The sequence below is a fragment of the Homo sapiens genome, chromosome 20 (genome assembly GCF_000001405.40).
Source record: "Homo sapiens chromosome 20, GRCh38.p14 Primary Assembly".
Lineage (NCBI taxonomy): Eukaryota > Metazoa > Chordata > Mammalia > Primates > Hominidae > Homo > Homo sapiens.
In genome coordinates this window covers 48,796,549-48,818,512 of record NC_000020.11, presented here as the reverse complement: position 1 = coordinate 48,818,512, position 21,964 = coordinate 48,796,549, and the positions used below count along the sequence as shown (strand labels likewise).

Genomic DNA, 21,964 nt, shown 5'->3' with positions numbered 1-21,964 from the left:
GTTCTCCTTACGCAGTCAGAGGGATCCAGTGAGACCCTAATCAGTTACAGTTACATCTCACTTAGCATAAAAGCAGTCCTTAGTCTGGCCTGGAATGTCGCACAAGACCTGCCCCTCTTGGCTCTCTCAGCTCCTCTTTCATTACTCCTTTTTCCCCATAAAGTTTTAAAAACTGAGATGTGAATTCACAAATCATAAACCTCACCCTTTCAAACTGTACGATTCGGTGGTTTTGAGTATATTCACCAAGTTATGCAGTCATCCCCATTATCCAGTTCCAGAATCTTCTGGGTAGCTCTTACCCCCTCGCCCACTTCCTCCAAGCGCATTTGCCTTTTCTCAAATGCACCAAGCACGCACCTGCCTCAGGGCCCTTGCACCTGTGCTGTCTGGAATGCGCTCCCTCCCACCTCCCAGTGTCCCCGTGGCTCAGCCCTCCACCTCCTTCAGGCCTTTGCTCAAAATCATGTTCTTGACTGGGTCTTTTCTGACACCGCACATCCCCACCTCACCATTTCTTCCTTTGCTTGCGTTGTTTTTTTCCCACTAGCTAACACACTGGACATTTTACTTATTTATTACTTATTGTCTGCCTCCCTCGCTGGAATGTCACAGGCATGCCAAGAGAATAGAGATTTTGATCTCCAGCACCAACAATGCCTGCTACATAGTAGATGCTCATTAAGTATTTTTTGAATGAAAAAAATTGCTTCTATATGTGCCTATGTTTTATTACATGATGTGATTGTTTTGAATTATATAATTGCTAAGCATTTTTGTGCAGACTTCTGGGGACTAAGATGGTCTGGTGTCTTTTGACTATGTGGGTATGTGAGCTGGGGGATTTTGCACAGGAGAATTTTTTACAGTGTGGCATTGTGCTCAAGTGCCAGGGGCCTAGCCAGATTGTCTGGGTCTGAATCTTATCTCTGCGCCTCAGCAGCTGTGTGACCTTGGGCAAGAAGCTTTCCCTCTCTGAACCTTGGTTTCCTCATCTATAAAATATGTTGAGACACTTGGCTCACTGCCTGGCACCTGAGCAGGCCCCAGTAATTAGTGAGGTTATTTTTAAACATTCTGTTTTAGAATCTTAGTATTTCCCTACTTTTTGCAGAGGAACAGTTACAGCATATCATCTTGAACACACTGCCTGAGATCCTTCCTGGGACTTGAAATAAGTGACTGAATTTATTTTGACCAAGTGGTCCCTTGCCCTGGACATTGGTCTGTGCACTCTGAAGGCAGTTGGGAGTAACTGGGATGGCTGTAAGTTGGAGCTAGAAGTTGCTGTTCACTCTCTTCTCCAAGCAATCCCTCCGAAGATTGAAAAAACAGATTGGTGTCTCAAAAATACATGACAGCACCTCCCATTGCCCTGCTGTGAAATCCCTCCATGAACCTGAAAGGGCACAGAACACGCTGCTTCCCACTTTCTGGGTGAGGCTGTTACACATCCTGTTTCATTTACAGCCTTGCAGTTTTGCAGATGAGGAAACTGAGGCCCAGAGAGGGTGAGGTCACTTGCCTAGGATCACACAGAGATGGCGTATTAGTTATCTGTTGCTGCCAAACAAGTTACCACACATTTAGTGGCTTAAAATAACGCCTGTTAATTACCTCGAAGTTTCTGTGGGCCAGAAGTCTGGGTGCAATGTAACTGGGTTTTCTACTGAAGGTCTCATGAGGCTGCCATCAGGGTGTTGACCCGGGCTGTGATCTCATCTGATGCTTGGAGCGAGGAGGGTGTGGGGCATGGGAGGGATCTGCATAGGGTTGTTGGCAGAATTTAGTTGCGTGCATTGTGGAGCCGGGGTCCCCATTTTTTGCAGGGTATTGGCTGGTGATCACCCTCACTTCCTAGAGGTGCCTTGAGTCTTAGGGGTGTGGTCCTGCCACAACATAGCCACATCACGGCCAGCAGGTGAATCACTTGCTTTGAATCTCTTCCTTTAGGAAGGGCCTAGAAGTGTACTTGTACTCTTCTCCCTGCTTTATCCCCCGCAGGCGTCTTTTAAGGCTTTACCTGATTAGGTCAGGCTCACTCAGTCAGCTGATTTTGGACCCTGATTATATCTGCAAAATCCCTTCGCCTCTGTCATTTACCAGTCACAATGACAGTCCCACTTACATGAAATGGGAAAGGATCCTCCAGGGCGTGGACACAGGGGGCAGTGATCCTGGGGCCATCTCAGGGTTCTGCCCACCAACAATGGTCAGTGGTGGGTTTGAACTCAGGATTATTCTACTCCAGAGCCCATATTTGTGACCACTGTGCTTTACTTTATTTACTCCCTCTCTGGCCCTGCCCAGAGTGAACCCTGAGTAAGGTGAACTGATTGGCTGTTGGCCTCATTCTGGCTCATTCTGAGCGAGACGGGGCAGGTGGGCTGTATTATGAGGTGTGGTTTCCTCGCTGGTAAGACCTGGTCTCTCCAACACAGTACACAGACCCCCAGCATCTCTCTGTTTTTTTTTTTTTTTTTCCTTTTTTTCTTTTTTTTTTGAGACAGAGTCTCACTCTGTTGCCAAGGCTGGAGTGCAATGGTGCAATCTCGGCTCACTGCAACCTCCACTTCCCAGGTTCGAGCGATTCTCCTGCCTCAGCCTCCCGAGTAGCGGGGATTACAGGCATGTGCCAACACGTCTGGCTGATTTTTGTAATTTTAGTAGAGACAGGGTTTCGCCACATTGGCCAGGCTGGTGGTCTCAAACCCCTGACCTCAGGTGATTTGCCCACTCGGCTGACTCCCAAAGTGCTGAGATTACAGGCAATGAGCCACTGTGCCCGGCCGCCCCAGCATCTCTTGAAATGATTTGCCAACTGGGTTGTTGAAGTTGAAACCAGAGCATCTACCCCATCCTGGTACCCCCGTTACCTAGGAGTGTAGGCTTAGACCTGGCCACGGGACAGATGCCTGACTGCTTTCTCCCAGGGGACATTTACGCCAGATGTTGTCTGTGCTGTTTACTCTGAGTGTGGGGTGGGGAGTGAGGAAGCCCATCTGATTGCATTGATCTCCACATATTAGGGCTTTTCCAGATAACTCATTGTTTAGTGATTTCCAATTTGTGTTCAGAGAACATATTCTGTGGGTTTTCAATCCTTTGAAATTGAGACTTGGTTTATGACCCAGCAGATAGTCTACCTTAGGGACCATTTCATGTACATTTGAAAAGAATGTGTCTTCTGCTGTCGTTGGGTGCAGTGTTCTACAAATGTCATTTGGATCAAGGTGGTTGTTAGTGTTGTTCAGATCTGTATATCCTTACAGATGCTTGGTCTCCTTGTTCTGGTAGTTATTGAGAGAAGGCTCTGGAAGTCTCCATCTGTGACTATAGATTTATGTTTTTCTCCTTTGAGTTCTGTCAGTTATTACTTTTTGCATTTTAAAGTTCTCTTGCTGGAAATACACATTTATGATTATGTCTTCCTGGTGAATTGATCCTTTTATCATTATGAAATACTCCTTTTTATCTCTGATAATGCTCCTTGTCTTGAAGCCTATTTTGTCTGATATTGCTATAGCCATGTTGCCTTTCTTCTGCTTACTGTTTTCCATTTTTTTCGTTTCTGCCTCTGTGTCTTTATATTCCAAGTGCATCTCCTACAGGCATCATATAGTTGGGTCTTGCTTTTCTAAATCCATTCTGACAGTCGCAACCTTTTAATTAGACTGTTTAGCTTATGTATATTTAATGTAATTACTGACAGGGTTCGGTTTAGCTCCAACACCCTGCCATTTCATTCTGGTTTGTTTGCTACGGACATTAACAGCACAAGGAGTCCTCTTCCTCCCCCATCCTCACTCTGCTGGAGGTGGAACATGGAGGTTAATCGAATCCCAGCTCCTTATGATGGCTTAGAAGGTATTATGTGATCCAGCTTTAGCTCACTGTGCAGACCTCATCTCCCCGCCTTGTTCATTCTGTCCAGGCCCCACCACATTTCTTTCTATTCTTGCACTGTATTCAACTGGCTCCAGCCTCTAAGCCTTTTCCTTTGCTCTTCCTATTACCTGGAGCTCTTGGAACCCTGATTTGTACCAAGGACCCCCCTTTCTCTTTCAGCTCTCAGCTCAAGTGCCGCTTCCTCAGAGAGCCTTCTAGTCCCTTTCTCTACGCCACTGCACTGATTTTCTTCTTGACCTGTCACTGCCTGGAATTATCTTGTTGATTTATTTGTTTAGTATCTGTCTCTCCCATTAGAATGTAAGTTGCATGAGGTCACAGCCCTTGTCTGCTGTGTTCATGGCCAAGTCCCTGGTGATTAGCACTTAATGGGGACTGTGTTAGCATTTGTGGAAGAAATGAATGCATGAGCAAAAGGGGCTGAATGGGGCCCACTCTGTGGCAGAGGCCTTCCTGGCCATGACTGTGTCTTGGGAGCATGAACCCACGTGTAGGGGCAGCCGCAGCCTGGGTTCCTTGGCCTCCTGCCCTTACCACACTGGGGAGGGCAAAGGGATTGGAAAGTTTTATTTGCCACGTCAGGGAGCTCTGGGTGGTCTCAGCCACCAGCCAGTGGCCCACCAAGCTGTTGATTGGGTGGTTTTAAAGATTTATTTCCCCTTGAACACAAAGGTAGTAAATACAGTGGAGGTGTCAGTATCAAAAGCACATTCCCTTATGTCTGTTCAGCTACAGGCGCTCTTATGGAACCCAGTATGGTAAAATGATATTTTGTGTGTATACCTGGCTGCATATATTATTCATTTCTACACACATATGGCAGTCTAGGCACAAAACCAAACATGTTGTATTTCTGGGCAATTTAATATGTTCTTTTCAGAGTTAACTTTTTGGTAACTTTTTATTTGATCGCTCCCCCTCTCCCTTTCCTTTCTTCTTCCCTGTCTCCATCATGCACACACACGTTATTATTATTTTGATCTATTTGAGAGTAATTGCAGACAGGATGCCCCTGCAAACCTTGGCATGCATCACTTAGGAAGACAGACGTTCTCTTGTGTAACCACAGTGCCTTCAACAACAAAATCAGGCAAGTCAACATTTATACTAAATGATACAATGCACAGTCTATATTCAGATTTCACTATTTCTCCCCAAGTGTTCCCTATACCCATCTCCTCGCCCATCCCCACCCCCAGTCCAGGATCTAGTCCTGGATCACGCATTGTATTTGGCAGTCCAGCTCTGGTGATTTTGATTGTCCTCAGTAGAGAGTCTCCACTGAGATGTGCTCATGCTTGTCCCAGAGCCAAGCTCTGTGACCAGCTCTGTGACCTCGGGAAGCTGATTCTTGGACCTCAGTTTCTTCAGCTATAAAATGGGGAAATCGCTGTCCCTACCTCATAGACTTGTTCCCTTGTTCCAACACATTGTGTTAAGCACCTACTGTGTGCCTGGCCCAGATGCTGGGATACAGCAGGATGCAGGGCAGGCCGACATCTGGGCCGTTGGGGGTGGAGTAGAGTAGGTGAGTGCTGGGTGTGGAGCCGGCTCCCTAGGACGCCCACCACGTATGACTGTGTTTGCAGTTACTGCGCTCATTTTAGAAAATTTGGGAAATAAAGATGAATAAAAAGATCTCACCCTTCCAAATAGCTGTTTCATCTTTGGGTATATTTCCTCTTTGTTCCTTGCATTTGGTCTGAGCCTGGTACACGACAGCAGGTACTGCTTGTGCATACTTCCTCGTGTCACTGCTAAATGCTCTCCATCAGCAAGCCTTTCATGGCTTCGTAATGAAATGTGGGGGCTGGATCATGGCCACTGTCCAGTTCAAATCCTGACTGCCTGCCTGCTGTGTGGTCAGTGGCCCAGCTGCTCCATCTGTGTGTGCCTCGGTTTCCTCATCTCCTAAAATAGTGCCCTCTTCTTAGATTGAGGGGGGAATTAGGTGAATTAGGACCTGCAAAGCTATCAGAACAATGCGAGGTACATAGTAAGCATTCCATATATATTAGCTATACTTATAAGAATTATTATACTAATATATAATTTAATAATAGCATTCTAGTAAAATTATTATTTACCCATTCCTCTTATATTATTTACCCATTCCTCTTACATTATTTACCCATTCCTCTTATATTTTTTACCCATTCCTCTTACATTATTTACCCATTCCTCTTACATTATTTACCCATTCCTCTTATATTATTTACCCATTCCTCTTATATTATTTACCCATTCCTCTTATGTTATTTACCCATTCCTCTTATGTTATTTACCCATTCCTCTTATATTATTTACCCATTCCTCTTATGTTATTTACCCATTCCTCTTATATTATTTACCCATTCCTCTTATATTGGGGCATTTAGGTAGTTTTCAGTTTTTCACAATGACAGTCCATCTGCATCTTTGTTGATTGCTACCGGTTCTTTTGTCAATTTAGTAACTGAGGGCTGAAAAAACCTGGGTTTAGGACCCTTTGGTCCTTATTAGCCCAAAGAAATTATTAGCACTAGAATCCTGGAAACCGGCTGTTGGAGCTGGAAGACACTGAGACATCATCTCATCCAATCATCTCGCTTTTCAGGAAGGGGAAATTGAGGCACCGAGCTGTTCAGTCACTTGGCCTGGGGATCCCAAGTGGGTCTGCGGTTGAGATGGAACCGAAACCCAGGTTTTCTGACTCCTATTCCGTGATAGTCTGCTTTTGTCCAACAGCTAAGACTCCTTGGAGGACAGAGAGGGAGGTTTAAGTTGTATCCAAATGAGTTGGATGAATGTTTTGTCCTAGGGGATTCCCTTGTCTCTAGGAAACTTCACTTTCAGATTCTTTGACTTCAGTGATCAGTAGTGTGAGGGGTGTGTGTGTGTATCCAGGTCTGGTCAGTAGTGTGCATGCACACGTGTGTGTGTGTATCCAGGTCTGGTCAGTAGTGTGCATGCACACGTACGTGTGTGTGTGTGTGGGGGGGTGTGTATCCAGGTCTTGTCAGTAGAGTGCATGCACACGTGTGTGTGTGTATCCAGGTCTGGTCAGTAGTTTGCATGCACACGTGTGTGTGTGTGTGTATCCAACTCTGGTCAGAAGTCATTGATCGTACCCTTGCTGTGGGCCAGGCCTTGTACAAGCTACTGAGGCCACAGATGTGATGAAAGCAGGGCCCCTCCTTTTACTTATGATCAGAACCACTGGTTCCAAACCCAGGGGTCCTAAGTCCAGGTTAGGCTCATATGTGGGTTTTGTCAGCCTGCACGGGATTGTTTTAAAATTTTTTGTTTAGGCTGGGTACAGTGGCTCAGGCCTGTAATCCCAGCACTTTGGGAGGCTGAGGTGGGTGGATCACCTGAGGTCGGGAGTTCGTGACCAGCCTGGCAAACATAGTGAAACCCCATGTTTAATAATAATAAAAAAAAAATTGTTATTTACTTGCCAGCAATGAAAAATGAAGACATTTCATACAAAAACCTATTATTTCTGGCTTCTTAGTAATCAGAAGATGTGTCACTTGCTCTTCTGCAGGCAACGTTTGGTTTGGCTGGACCTGAAGAGCAGCTGCCCCTTCTGCAGGGCACAGGGCTTCAGTCTTCATTTAGCCACAGTCTCCACCCCTCCATAACATGTTCCTAACACTGAGACCAAACATTGGTTGCCATTTATTATGGCACTTGCCCTGCTGGTTTTTAATTATTATTATTATTTTTTTTTTGAGGAGGAGTCTGGCTCTTGTCGCCCAGGCTGGAGTGCAGTGGTGCGATCTCAGCTCACTGCAGCCCCTGCCTCCCGGGTTCAAGTGATTCTTCTACCTCAGCCTCCCAAGTAGCTGGGACTACAGGTGTGCACCACCATGCCTGGCTAATTTTTGTATTTTTAATAGAGATGGGGTTTTGCTATGTTGGCCAGGCTGGTCTCAAACTCTTGATCTGAGATGATCCACCTGCTTCAGCCTCCCAAAGTGCTGGGATTACAAGAGTGAGCCACCGTGCCCTGCCTTTTTTTTTTTTTTTTTTTAATTGAGGTGAGATCTTGCCTTGCTGCCCAGGCTGGAGTGCAGTGGTGTGATCATAGCTCACTGCAGCCTCCAACCCCTCCTGGGGTGACCTTCCCACCTCAGCCTCCTGAGTAGCTGTAACTACAGGTGTGTGTCACCATGCCCAGCTAATTAAAAAATTTTTTTTAGAGATAAGGGTCTCACTATGTTGCCCAGGCTGGTCTTGAACTCCTGGACTTAAGCGATTCTCCTGCCTCAGCCTCCCAAAGTGTTGGGATTACAGGCATGAGCCACTGTACTAGGCCTGGTTTTTTTTTTTTAATTGTAGAATTAAGAGGACAGAGGAATGTTTCTTCTAACCCTTGCGTGTATCAGATGGAAAACTGAAAGACCAAGAGGGTTATGTGTTTTAAGGAAAGTGGAAGGTAGCAGGTTTCTCTTTGGAAGAGAAGAGTATTCCTGTGTGTTTACTAGGCAAAGACACTCTTCTCTGTTAAAAGGATACAATAGTCATTGCTTTTACTAAGGAGCCGCGCACAGCATTCCCTGTTACCTGCCCAGCTCCTATAGGGGTTTTAAGTTGGAGACTTGTTTTCCAGTTTGTGAGTGGTCCTTCTTGTTCTTTGAGATGAAAAGGGGAGAAGGTGGGTCTCTCTTAGAGGGTGCGAATCTGTTTCCCAGACTTCCACTTCCTGTGGCCTGTGGGCAATGGCTCCCTTCTCTTTTCTGCAACATCAGCTATTAAACAGGAGGTTCCCACATGGTCCGTCCTACTTCCTGCACTTATGCCCCTTTGGGAGAACCTGGGAGGAAGTAGTGGGTTCCTCCAGGGGCGTTAGAGGGTCCCTGCCTGGGCCTCTTCTTAGGTTGCAGGACCCTGATACCATCCCGGTCAGGTTTGGTGTCTTCCTGCTCTTGGGCAGCCTATTGGTGGCCTCTCCCCTGGCCTCGTTTCTCCCTCATCTTGAAGATTTTGAAATAACAAGAACAATAATAAAGACAATGGCATTGCTACCACTGCTGAGATTGGCAAGAGCCGGCTGGTTGTCAGGATCCTTTGGTTGCAAGTGACAGAAAACCCATCTCAAACCACCTTCAGTAAGAATGGGAATTTCTCTCTGTTTCCCTGGGGCAGCTGCCTCCTGGGTGAGGGATGTAGCTCTACCACATGGTAGTGGGGGAGGAGTGGTTCCCAGAAGGAAGCCCCCAGGGTGCTGGGACCAGAAGATGGGGAGGGATGCCAGGTGGGAGCATCTCTTCTCCCCTGTGCTGGTGCCTCGATCCCAGATTGGAAGGCTTTGCCTTCCCCCAAGTCTTGGGTCCCAGGGGAGCCCCGTTGGCCCATGGCCTGCTTGCAGTGGCTCTTGGCCTTTCCATGTCTGACCTCAGAATCCTTGCTCCTATCCTGCCTCCTTGGGAGGCCTTCCTTGACTATTCCAGCTCTCCCTGTGGATGTCATTATAACACTGGTGCCCACATGTGTGAGGAACTGTGCCCAGTGGACACTTTCCAAGCAACATAGCCCCCCAAGAACCTGGTGGGGAAGGTGTTCCTGCGTTGCCTGTTTATTGTGTCGATGAGGAAGCAGAGGCTCAGAAAGGTTCCCTGACCTACCCAGAGTCACACAGCATCTTTCTCTTCTATTGAAGACTCAGCTGTGTGCATTTTGTCTTCCCTGAATCCAGGCTCTGCCCCTTCTAGGGGTGTAACATCAGGAAAAGGACTTTGCCTCTGTCTTTATGGGGAGAGCATTCCAAGCATGGGAAACAGCAAGTGCAAAGGCCCTGAGGCAGGAGCCTGTTTTAGGATCCACACGGAGGCCGGAATGGCCAGGGGCAGAGCAATGGGAGGTCAAGTCAGAGAGGTGGCAGTAGGAGTAGGGAGGCTGGTGGGCAGATTGCACAGGGCCTTGAGGGCCATTGTAAGGGCTTTGCTTTCTACGCTGAGTGAGGTGGTGTCGCTGAGTGAGGTGGTGTTGTCCTTGGAGTGTTTCAGCAGAGGAGGGGCAGATCTGACTCAGTTTTCGCAGGATCCCTCTGGCTACTTGTGCGGGTAGATGATAGGAGGTGGGGTGGAGGCTGAGGAGGAGGCTGCCACAGCAGCCCGGGCAGGAGAGCCTGTTCTGCAGGTGGCTAGATGGCAGTCCACTGCCCCTGCTTTGTCCTCCTGTGCTGCTCACGAGCTGTGTGACCTCGAGTCCTGGCTGCTTTTCTTGGAGCTCTATTTTCTCATCTGCACAGTGGTGTTAATGATGTGACCTCGCTGATGGGGCTGTGGGGATGAACTGCATGAGCTGATAAATGTAAAGTGCTCCCGGAGTGCCTGGCACAGCCTAAGCTCTCAGCAAATGTTTGTGGAGTGTGCCAGTGAGGGGATGGCAGGGAATTTGGGGCCGCTCCAGCTCTGCCCACGGTGCCTGTGCCTGAGGTCAGCCCCAGAGCAGGAAGCACCCCGTTGTTCCCCAACTCTGCCCTCTCCATCCCCACACACAGAGCTTTGAATGAACAGGATCCAGAATGTTCCGACAACAGTGCCCCCCTCCCCTTTCCTACTGACAAAGCCATCTTTGTTACTCCTGGGTGTGAAATCCATTTCAGAAATGAGGATGGTGCAGGCTCAGGAGTCGGCTTGCAAGGATGGGGAGGGGCTTGGGAGGAAGGTGTCCCCATCTTGCTCAGGGCCCCCTGAGTGGACAGCCTGCTCCCCCACACCCCTCTAGCCTCATTTGGGCCCAGAATGCTCTGGAATTGGCAGTGTTTTTTGGAACTGTGTGGAGCTGCATTTCCGCTGAGAAACCCTATCAGTCAACGTCACCTTCCATCCCTTACTGTCGTCACACGTACACAAGAGGCATAATGCCCAGCGCTGGCCTGGCTGCAGGCAAGCAAGCAGTCCCAGAGGACACTGGTGGGAGTGTTCATGATTGCTGCCTTGGGGGAAAATACATTGGCAGTGTCTTTAAAAATAAAAACCCACGATACCCTTTGATTCAGTTCCTTTAGGAACTTCTCCTATAGAAACAAGAAAAAAAAAGTAGGTAAAGATGTAAGTTACAAAGATGTTTATTCCAGTTTTGTTTCTAATGGCAAAAGAAATTGGCAACTCTGTGAGTGGCCGTTAGCAGAGAAAAGTCTCATTAGGATGGTTGTTGATCCACATGTTGGGGTAACGGACAGCTGTTGGAAAGAATGAGGTTGGTCTCTATGGACATGAGGGGCTGTATGTGCTGTACCTTTAAGGAGGGATAAGTTGCTGAGTGAAATGTAGAGCAGGACCCCAATTTTGTAGAGAAAAAAAAACACAAAAAAGGCTCTCTCAATGGGTATTTATGAGTGTGGAGAAAGATACTGCAGGATGTGCACCAGATGTTAGCCTTGGTAGCCTCAGGCTGAGAATGGGGGGGAGTGTAGAAAAAGAATTTTCACTTTATCTTTGTATACTTTTTTGGCATTGCTACACTAGTTCTAATTAACACACTATTTTTCAAATTAATATAGACTAACAATAATTTAAAAAAGACAGTTCCCTGCCAGTTGTCTTTTCCCTCATGTCAGCATGGCTCACCTCCATCTTCAGCTATGTTCTGTTGAGATGTCACCTTGAAGAGGCGTTCTCTGACTGTTCCATGGATGAATGGATATCGGATTCCTTTGAACTGTCCCTATACCTCTTCTGAGAAGCCATTCCTGCTACTCTTATGCATCTCTGACTTCCTTTTCCCCAGCCCCAGCCCTCCATACTGGCACTGAGCCCTCTTCACCTTCTGCCTGCTGTTGGAGCTGTTTGGGGGCCATCTTGACCTTGGTATCCCTGATGCTGAGCCCAGTGCCTGGCATACAGTCAGTGCTCATTAAATGCTTGTTGCTCCCTTGTCAGGGAACTTACCAATCTGAAAGCCCAAAGTCTGAGAGGCGCTGGTATGTTATCTTTCAGTCCCGGCTCCTCCTCTTACTGGGAGTGTGACCTGGGGCAAGTCATTTAACATGTTTGAACCTTAGTTTTGTCCTTAATAAAGTGGGAGTAATAGTAATCCCTTCCTTCTAGGATCATTGTACCTCTGAAATGAGTGATGGTGTGCAAAAGATGTTTCATTTGGTACCTGGCACATAATAAATGCTTAATTATGTTAGCTGTTATTAATAATAATGAACCAAGTCTAGAGTTTAGAACAAACAAAAAATGACCATTTAGAAACACCTACTGTGGGGCAGACCTGTATGTAATATTGGGTCACATAAACCCTCCCATAGGCCTTTGAGAATCAGGATAGCAGGTGTCTGAGCAAGTTGTGCAACCAGGTCCCTTAAGTTCAAATCCAGGCCCTAGATTTGATGAATGGACAAAGATCTTTGTCCTCCTGGAGCTGATGTTCTGGTGGGCTTAGAACAGTGGTTCTCAAACAAGGGCAGTTTGGCCCCTCCCCCAAAGGGGACATATGGCAATGTCTGGAGATATTTTTGGTTGTCACAACTGGGGAGGAAGGATGTCTGGACTCTACCTGCTACTGTCATGAAGCAGGTAGAGTCCAGGGATGCTGCTGAACGTCCTACAGTGCCTAGCACAGCCTTATCACACAGTATTACCTGGCCCCAATTGTCAGTGGCACTGAGCGGGAGAAGCCCTGGTCTAGAGCAGTGTCTGGCACATCCTGAGAGCTCAGCACATGTTCGCTGCTTTGGCGGCAGTGATGATGGAAGTGTTTCTGTATTTGCCACCTGTCTTACAGGTGGGGACATTGAAGCTTGGAGAGGTGTTACAGCTGGTTCTAAGTCTCATTGTCAGTTGGCACTGGAGCTGGGATTTGAACCTGGGTCTCGATCCCTGAGGCTGAGCCCTGTGGCTGAGGTGGGAGCAGGATGCCCCATCCCTGGTGTCTCTCTCAAGAGTTGGTGGCTGTTGGGGGGCACAGAGGGGTGAGGTGGGATTCTGGGCTTGGGGCTGGCCTGTAAGTCCAGGAAGAAGGGAGCCCCCGGTGCTGAGGGGACCCTGGAGACCCAGCCCTGTGTGTGGTGCTGGCTGCCCCTCCTGGCTCCCTAATTCGCTGCCAGCACTTGTTGTCTGCCAGTCACCACAACACTTCGGGCCAAGACATATTCTCAGCCCCTCCCCGTGTGTCAGGTCTTTGGCAGCCGCAGAAGGTAGGGTGGAGGGGGTCTCTCTGTTTCTGCTCCTGAAGAGCTGCACTTGGCAGAGAGCACGTGGTGTCTGCAGCCTGGCCTTGGCCGGGTGGCTCAGCCAGCTGAGTTAGCCTGGATCACCTTGCACCCGCCTGTCCTTCTCTGACTGAGCCTCAGTTTCTTATCTGGGTGATGAGTTGGGGTGGGGAATGCTAATTCCTGCCCTACCTACCTCTTTGGAGCAGGCTAAACAGTGGATGTGAAACTCCATTGTCCATAGCAAGCTGTTCTAGAACAAGGAGTTGATGTCCTGCTGCTATCACCGTTTCTTCTCCCCGGCACATAGCCAGGAGGCTGGTGGGCACTGGCAGCCCGGTGGTAAGGAGATGGGGACCATTTCTTCCCTCTCTTCCTCTGTCACTTCATTATCATTCTGTAGTTGAGCTCATCTTGCTCAATCATTTAAAATGCCCTGCCAGCATTTCTCAAATTTATATTCCTTGCCCTGACCTCTGTCCCGACCTCTAGATGATGACCCGACATCTCCATGAGGGCATTCAGCAGGCATCACAAACTTGCTGCCTCCTCCCCGCCACTCCTCTTGCGGCCCCCTCCTTCCAGTCACTCTGGCACCTCCTTGGGCCATCTTGACGCCACTCTTCCTCTTACATCCCACATCCAACCCATCAGGAAATCCTGTCAGCTCCAACTTGGACAAGCAGCCAGGATCCGGCCACTTCTCACCTCCCATGGGTAGCCCCGGGTCTCAGCCACCATGGTCTCCTGCTGGGACTCTTGCAGTCGTCTCCTCCCTTGTCCCATGCTTCCACCCTTGCCCCTGGTTCTCCACATGTACCCTGCGTAAATCAGGTCACATTCGTCCTATCTGAGCCCCCGCTGCCTCCCACCTCACCCAGAGGAAATCCCAACGCCCTGTAGTCTGTGGTCTTCTGACTCCTTCGCCAAAAGTGCCCAGCACACTCCTGCCTCAGGGCCTTTGCACATGCTGTCCTGTTGGTCGGGAACATTCTCCAGGTATTTGTGCACTCATGACCTCTTCAGGTCTTGGGCCTCTCCCTCTCAGCCCAGCCTTCCCTGGCCTCCCATCGAAAGTCACCCCTCCTCCCATGCTCCCCCTCTGTCTCCCTCTTCTCCGTGGCACTTGTATTTGATTGACTCCTCTGCTTCTTGCCTGCTCTTCCTTCGCTAGAATTTAAGCTCCCAGAGGGCAGGGGGTTTTGTCTCTTTTATTCCCTGTTGTGTCCCCACACCTAGAACAGTGCCTGGCACATAGTGGGTGCTTAGTAGATATTTGCAGAGTGAAAGAAGGACGAGCTATCCAGTCGTTGTCACGTATTTCCTGAAGATTATATTATATCCCAGGCCTTCTTCTGGGCGTCAGAAACGCAGATGACTCAAACAATGGTGTGTGTCCTCAAGGGCTCCAGTCCAGGGGAGAAAATGGGCACCTAAGTGAGACATTACAGGATGATAGGTGCTGTAACAGCTGTATCACTCAGGACTGTTTGGGTTGTAAGTGACAGAAACCCTAACTTGAAGAGTCTGAAGCAAACAGACAAACAAAAAAAGACTTTCTGGGCTTACTTGACTCAGGAGTAATGGCCTCAGGCACAGTTGGATCCAGGTGTTCCCTGGCCTGACCTTGAGGTCATGGACCCATCCATGAACCAAGTATCACCCATCCAGAGGGCCCCAGAGCTCTGATTGCCCACGCCTGGGTCACAGGTTCGTCAGTGTAGATGGGGTGAGGTGCCGGCTGCCCCACAACCACATGTACTAAGAGCAGGACTCAGGGCACGACTTCCAGGATATCAGACCTCGGGAAGCTGCAGAAGGGGTGATGCTATGTGGATTACAAGCTGTTTTTGGCGTGTGTGGCCCTGTGTGTTGCAGGTGGTTGGGAAGTGGAATTGGGGTGCTGCTGGTCTTGGTGACAGGTGGCCCTCCCTCTCCCTGTACATACCTCTTTTGCCCCCTTACCCCACTCCTTGAAAATACTCCTGGCTCTCACTCTGTTCCCCTTCCCTTTATCACAAAGGGGCTCCAGATGGCATGGCTTTCGGGGAGTCTGCCATGCAAATCTGTTGGGTTCATCTCCCTGTTCTCCCTCCCCCACCCGCATATGCTGGCTCTGAGCTTCTTGGATCCTATTTTGGGTCTGAGGGAGGAAGGATGCTTGGGGTCCCTGGATGGGCCTCAGTGCTTTTTCTGGTCTGGCCTGTGCTGCTGGGAAGCCATGTTTTGCATGAGATTGGCCTCGTGGGCCTGCCGTGAGCCTTTTGGTTCCCAGGGATGCCCTGAACCAGCCATGCCTGCTATTACCTACTTATCTGGGGGTTTAAACCAGGATATCGCAAATCTGACTATACCTCTGAACTACCTGCAAACCTAGTTCCAATGCAGATTTTGGATCAGCAGGTCTGGAGTAGGGCCTGAGATGCCGCATTTCTAAGCAAGCTCCCAGGAGATGAGACGCTGATGCCACTGGTCCAGGGAGCACGCTGGGTGGTGGGGGTCTAAGGCGTCTTCTCAGGAAAGCCCCCCTTGGCTTGCCCGCTCCTCACTCCCCAGCTTGGGCCAGGGCCCCTGTTACAAGCTCGCAGAACGGCCTGGCTTCTCTCAGAGCCCTTGTTGCAAAGGGAATGGGGGATTCCCACACCATGTCAGGCATACTTAGAGCTCCAGGAATCTTGTTTTCTGCTGTCTTCATGCTGTCAGCAGATACTGACTAAGGTCCTACTGTGTGCCAGGCATGGGGGAAACAGCAGTGATCAAAACAGATACAATCCCTGCTCTCATATCTCTGATGTTTGGGATGGGGGAGATGAATAATGAAGAAATAACAAATGAGAAAAATCTTGTAAGTGACAAGTGCTATGCAGACAGTAACACAGAGATATGAATTAGAGTCGGGGGCTGTTTTGGATCTGATGATCAGGGAAGGCCTGCCTGTCTGATGAGGTGGCCTTTGAGCTGGGACCTGGACACTGAGAAGCCAGCCATGGGAATTAAGGCAGGAAGAGTAGCCTGTGCAAAGGCCCCGAGGCAGGGATGAGCTTGGCCAATTTCAGGATCATCAAGGAGGCTGGTGTGGCTGGGTAGAGTGAGTGAGGGGAGAATGGGTGGGAGAAGAGATCTGAGCACCATGTGGGGGCTGCATTGGGCAGGGTCTTGGAGGCCATGGCAAAGGGTTGGGCTTTTATTGTAAGAGGTAGAGAAGCTGTAGGAGCATTAGGCCAGGCAGTGACAGTGAATGACTTACCTTTTAAAAGAACCCCTCTGGCTACCTGGCTACCGTGAAGAAAGTAGATGGTTTGGCGGGGGTGGGGATGGGGTGTGTGCAGGGTGTCTTAGTTTGTTTTCTGCTGCTTATAACAGAACGCCTGAAGCTGGGTAATTTATAAAGAAAAGAGATTTATTTAGCTCACAGTTGCACAGGCTGGGAAGTTCAAGGGCATGGCCATGGTGTCTGATGAAGACCTTCCTGCTGCATCATGGCATGGCAGAGAAGGTCAGAGAGAAAGCAGACATGAGTGAAGAGACAAAACCCAAGGGGCGTCTTGGCTTTATAACAACCCACTCTTGGGGAACTAATCCAGACTCCCCAGAGTGAGAGCTCACTACTGTGAGGATGGCACCAGCCCACTCATGAGGGGTCCGCCTCCATGACTCAAACACCTCCCATGCGACCCTGCCTCTCAACATCGCCTCACTGGGGACCAGATTTCAACATGAGTTTTGGTGGGGACAAATAAGCCATAGCTAAACCATAGCAGGGGACAAAGATAAGTGGGGAGACCAGTGAGGAGGTGACTGCAACAGCCCCGGGGAGAGACGTGGGTGTCCTGGCCCAGGGTGGTGGTGGGAGGAGAGGAGCGACTGGATGCAGGACGCAGGCTGGTTTCTCAACAGAAAGCCTATATCCACGGAGGTGAAACTGTGCCTTGGCCCTTACCTACTGGAGGATGGTGCTCTGACCAGAAGGGACTCTGTCGCAGGATGGTTTTAGGAAGCTCTTTGGGTGTCTCTGCGTGGTGGGGCTGGGCTTGCTTCAAGATGACTTAGGGCAGGCAGGTGTGTGGTTGTCAGGCCTGGTGTGGTCTCATTTTCTCAGCAAGAGGGAGAGCCCGACTGGCCAGCTTCTCAGAATTAGACCTTCAGTGTCACCGATGCATGAGGCATGGAGAGTTGCTGAAAGAGGAGATGTTCCTTGGTGCTTACGCAGCTCGCATGGTTTCCACAAAAGACCACGCTGCCTATGATGGCATAGACACTAATGCCAGTACGAATACTGCTACTAGTAGCTGGTTCTTCACACGAGCTAGACCATGTCTTAAGCTCTTCAGCTGCACAATCTTGTGGGATACTCACTGCAGCCTGTGAGGGAAGGATTCTTATTATCCCCATTTTATCCTGGTGATAGGCAGGAACTCTCCAAAGGTTACCCAGCTAGTAAGTGGCAGATTTTAAGCTAACATATCTTTAGAAATCCCATAATTATTTGCATCCACAGGCTGAGTGCGGTGGCCCACACCTGTAATCCCTGCACTTTGGGAGGCCATGGCGGGAGGATTGCTTGAGGTTAAGAGTTCAAGACCAGCCTGGGCAACATAGTGAGATCCTGTCACTACAAAAAAAAAAAATTAGATATTTGCATCCAGAGTGGTTAGGTCATGTGTCATGTATGTTAAAGGCATTGGTCTCATTATAAAGGCCCGTGTTCAGTATGTACCATGGTGCTTGGGGCCTTGTTTTAGCCCTGCCCGAGAGGCTCAGTACATGGATAGCTGGCTGCTTTTGCCATCTGAGAGGCTGTACTCCCTTTTACGCCTCGTAGGTAAGTTCTGCAGCTTCCCTGGTCCTTGGTTTCCTCGTCTGTGACATGAGGGAGGGAAAGAGAGGGAACAAAAGCTCCCACCTCACAGGACCACTGTGTGGTGAGGCTTTGGGGTTTGCATGATGCCGGGCACACATCCTAAGTGCCCAGGGATTGTTGGCTGCTGTCGCTGTTACTATTATTATCTTTATTCTCACTGATAAGTCAAGTGGTAAATAGAGTGACCAACTGCCCCAGTTTGCTTAGGACTGTTCTGGTTTTAAAACTAAAAGTCCCACATCTCAGGAAACCCCTCAGACCTCAGTAAACTGGGGCTGTTGGTCGCCCTACTGATAAGGGGCTTATCAATAAATCCAGGCCCTTAATGTCAGCTCAGCCTGCATTTGAATTAGCCCTGCCACTTCCCAGCGGTGTGACCTTGAGCAGGCTATTTAGGCTCTCTGTGCCTCAGTTTTCCACTTGTAAAACGTGGGGTGATTATAGTAGCTACCTTAAGGGTTGTAGTGAAGTTTAAATGAGTGTAAAGTTTGGTGAAATAGCTTTATTCAAATTCTCCAGAGTCCCACATGGACAGGAGAGAAGCTGAGACTGTTTTGAAGCTCCTTAGGCTCTCCCCTCCGCCACAGCTGGCCCACAAGTCAGGCTGGCTCTGTCCTCTACCACATCAAAGTCCCCCAAGGCCCCCTTTATGGCAGGGGTCTGCTGGCCCCTGGCGCAGAGGCAGATTAGAGTGAGATCCTATCTGGATGGGTGGAGGTGCCCAGCCAGGGAGAGGTACTGGTGGCCACTGATAAGCAGGGCCCTTGTGCCCGCAGCCCCTGCCCCCTCACCCAGGAGAACACGGGTACTTTCTTCTTGGGTTTCAACCCAGCTGGCCCCTCTGCCCTGTTGTGGGGGGACAGAGGCCCGCTTGCCTGCAGGACAACCTCTCTGTACCCCATTTTCCACCTATCTAAAATGGGGCTGGAAAACCCTTACCCATGGGGTACACAGGAAGCCAAGGCCCCTCCAGTCTTTGGCTGTATTATTAACAAAATGCATGTAGGATAAGACTGGGGCCCCAGAGGGTGGCTTTTGAAATACTTAAGTTTGAACCAGCTAACGCTTTTAGCACATGCAGTCTCCAGGGTGATAGACCGCGCTGCTCGGGGCAGGGCCACAGGGTTTATAGGAGTTGCTCTTCGTTTTAGGATGCCACTGACAGTGTGCTTGGGTGGACACAGGCTTAGAGGGATGTTTCGAACGTTTTCCTCTTCCAGGCCTGTCTGCATGTCCTTGTGGTGGGCAGTGGGGATCTCACTTGGGGACTGTGAGGGGCTTCCATGCAGCAAGCTCCTGCCACCCTCAACCAAGTGTATATGAGAGTCTTGAGAATTAAATGAAAGAAAATGTGTGGGCACTCAAGAAATGATAGCTGTTATATTTTAAATTAAAATGCTATTTATTCAGGGCCAGGTGGGGTGGCTCATGCCTGTAATTTCAGCACTCTGGGAGGCTGAGGTGGGCGGATCACTTGATCAGGAGTTCAAGACCAGTCTGGCCAACGTGGTGAAACCCCGTCTCTACTAAAAATACAAAAATTAGCTGTGGGTGGTGGCGCGTGCCTGTAATCTCAGCTATTCAGGAGAATTGCTTGAACTCGGGAGGTGGAGGTTTCAGTGAGCCGAGATCTCGCCATTGCACTGGAGCCTAGGCGACAGAGCGAGACTCTGTCTCAAAAAGAAAAAAGTTATTTAATTCATATTTAGAGATTTAAGTCAGGGTCTTGCATAGATCTGAAGCGATTCCAATTTAATCCCAGCAGGAGGGTCAGATACACAGTTCCTTCTAAATTTAGTCAGGTGAATATAACACCAGGAGATGAATTTTGTTGAGCACCTACTGCATGCCAAAGCTCCTCCACGTGTGCTCCAGGGACTTGGCAGTATCACCGTGGGAGCTTGGGCTCACCTCACATCCACCGCAGCAGAATCTGCTTTTGACAAGGCCCCCAGCTGATTGACAGGTACACTTCAGTTTGCAAGCGCATGGGCTGGGAGGTGGGAAAGGACTTGTCAGAGTTTAAGTGCAGCGGGGAGGCTGGTGCTGGTGTGGAGGGAGGGAAGGCTGAGGAGGGTAATGGGACAGAGCATGCAGGGCCTTCCAGGAAGAGGTGAGGAGCAGGGATTTCCTCCCAGTGTGGCAGCCTGCCGGGGAGGGCTTTAAGCAGAGCAGAAGAGTGGTCTGATGGATGATTTAAAAAGGACCCTTAGGTGTGGGTATGGAGGCTGGACCGTAGGAGCAGCAAGATTGGTTAGGTAGCTGCCTCAGTGTCCAGTGAGGGATGGTGGTGGCTTGGACCAGGAGGTGGATGGAGATAGAGCTGGGTTGGACTTGAATTGGTAGTGGAGGAATGTGGGTGATAAAGTTTTTCAGTGGAGGAGGGGAAACTAGACCTTGACCCATACAACCTGGAAGGCTTCCTGGAGGAGGTGGAGACTTTCAGGATAGATGCGGCAGACTTGAGGACATTCCAGAGGTAGGAACCCCATGGGCAAGGGCAAAAGTGAGTTCATGCAAAAGGCAGGAGATTGACTTACGTGACTTCTTCCCAACCCTTAAAGGTTACAGATGAGCTCAGCGTCGTCCCTGGAATTGCAAAGCTAGAGAAGAGATTAAGAGTCAAAGGCTTTGGGCACCCCCTTGAATGGGGACAAGAAGGCAGCTTAGGGAAAGTCACAGATCCAGGCTGAGGAATCTTGAGGGTCTGAGCACTGGCTCTGTCAGGACTGCAGGCCTGTCATCGACTCTCCTGGGCCTCAGTGTTCTCAGGCATCAGGTGGGGTTACAGCGGGGTGCAAAGTGGATGTGCCGCTGGCCGGGAAAGTCGGGACAGAGCTGCCATTGCAGGCCTGGCGCCCTGTGCCAGGGCCACGAGCAGCTCGCTTTGCCAGACTGTGCTTTCTGGGTGAGAACAGGGTTGTTTGAGGAAGGTGACAAGCGGGGACCGACGGGGGTGTCGTTCTCTTTCTCTCTGGGGAAGATCATTGAGAAAGAGCGGGCACACAGGGGCAGTGAACAGAGACAGCGCTGTGGGCCTCTTTTTTGGGGGGATGGGAGGGGAGAGAGAGCTGGGTCAGCTGTATGGGCCACTTAATACCCATGAACTTGCAATTAAATGCGGAAGTGAGAGACAAGAGGGGTGGTAAAAGGGGATATTGTTCCCAGCTCCTGAGAGGAGGGGGCTGGAGCCCTGGGGAAATGGCCAGCCTCCAACATGAATGGGCTTCAGTGTCCTGGGGGGGGTCTGGGGGGAGCAGGGGGCCGTCATTTGGCCCTTTGTCCTGCTCTGCTGGACTCAACCACAAAGGCCAGCTTGATTCCCATTTGGCTTTTTTCTGGGGAAGTTGTGGTGCGGGGCTGGACCCTAGCTTGGCCACCTCTCAGGGACCCAAGCAAAGAGCTCCCTCTGGTAAAGGGGGATGATAGAATTTAGAGAATTTCCAGAAATGCTTTCCACCGTGATCAGTCCTTTTTCTTCCATTAAAATTTTAAAATTTTAATTATTTTAGGTATATCTTGTATGCAAAATGTACAATACACCAAGTAAACGGCTTGGTGAGCTTATAATAAGATATATCTGAATAACTGTCACTCAGATCAGATATTGCCAGCACCCCAGAGGGTGTCTTCTCCCAGTCAGTATCCCCAAAAGTAACCACTGTTCTGATTTGTATCTGCGAAGATTAGTTTTGCCTGTTTTTGAACTTTATGTAAAATGGAATTATATAGTATATGATCTTTTGTGTCTTTTAAATTAATTTAAAATGTTACAGCTATACATGTGTATATAATTATATGTGTATATAACTGTATATATAACTATATATGTATATATAATTACGCATATACATATATAAAACTATTTTATATACATTTTATATCACATCTATGTTATATATACCATATATGATGTACGACACATATAACTGGATATTTATATATACAGTATATATGTATATGTACACATATAAATATATAAATATATAAATGTGTAATCATTTTCATGGTTCAAATTAAAAAGCATACAGTGAGATAGAATG

General features: G+C 49.0%; 1 protein-coding gene across 4 annotated transcripts in view, besides 2 other annotated features; it reads left to right on the top strand.

The window, feature by feature from the left end:
* The window catches only part of PREX1 (phosphatidylinositol-3,4,5-trisphosphate dependent Rac exchange factor 1), a 263,934-nt gene that overhangs the window by 69,673 nt on the left and 172,297 nt on the right, over positions 1-21,964 (top strand). The gene's annotated exons all lie outside the window — the stretch shown is intronic.
* Positions 18,656-19,156: an enhancer, noted in NCBI's record as "H3K4me1 hESC enhancer chr20:47415894-47416394 (GRCh37/hg19 assembly coordinates)". NCBI's record gives its function as "activates a minimal SCP1, AML or CMV promoter by ChIP-STARR-seq in naive H9 embryonic stem cells {active_cell/tissue: H9 hESC(naive)}" and the evidence as "EXISTENCE:reporter gene assay evidence [ECO:0000049][PMID:30033119]".
* Positions 20,177-20,787: an enhancer, noted in NCBI's record as "H3K4me1 hESC enhancer chr20:47414263-47414873 (GRCh37/hg19 assembly coordinates)". NCBI's record gives its function as "activates a minimal SCP1, AML or CMV promoter by ChIP-STARR-seq in naive H9 embryonic stem cells {active_cell/tissue: H9 hESC(naive)}" and the evidence as "EXISTENCE:reporter gene assay evidence [ECO:0000049][PMID:30033119]".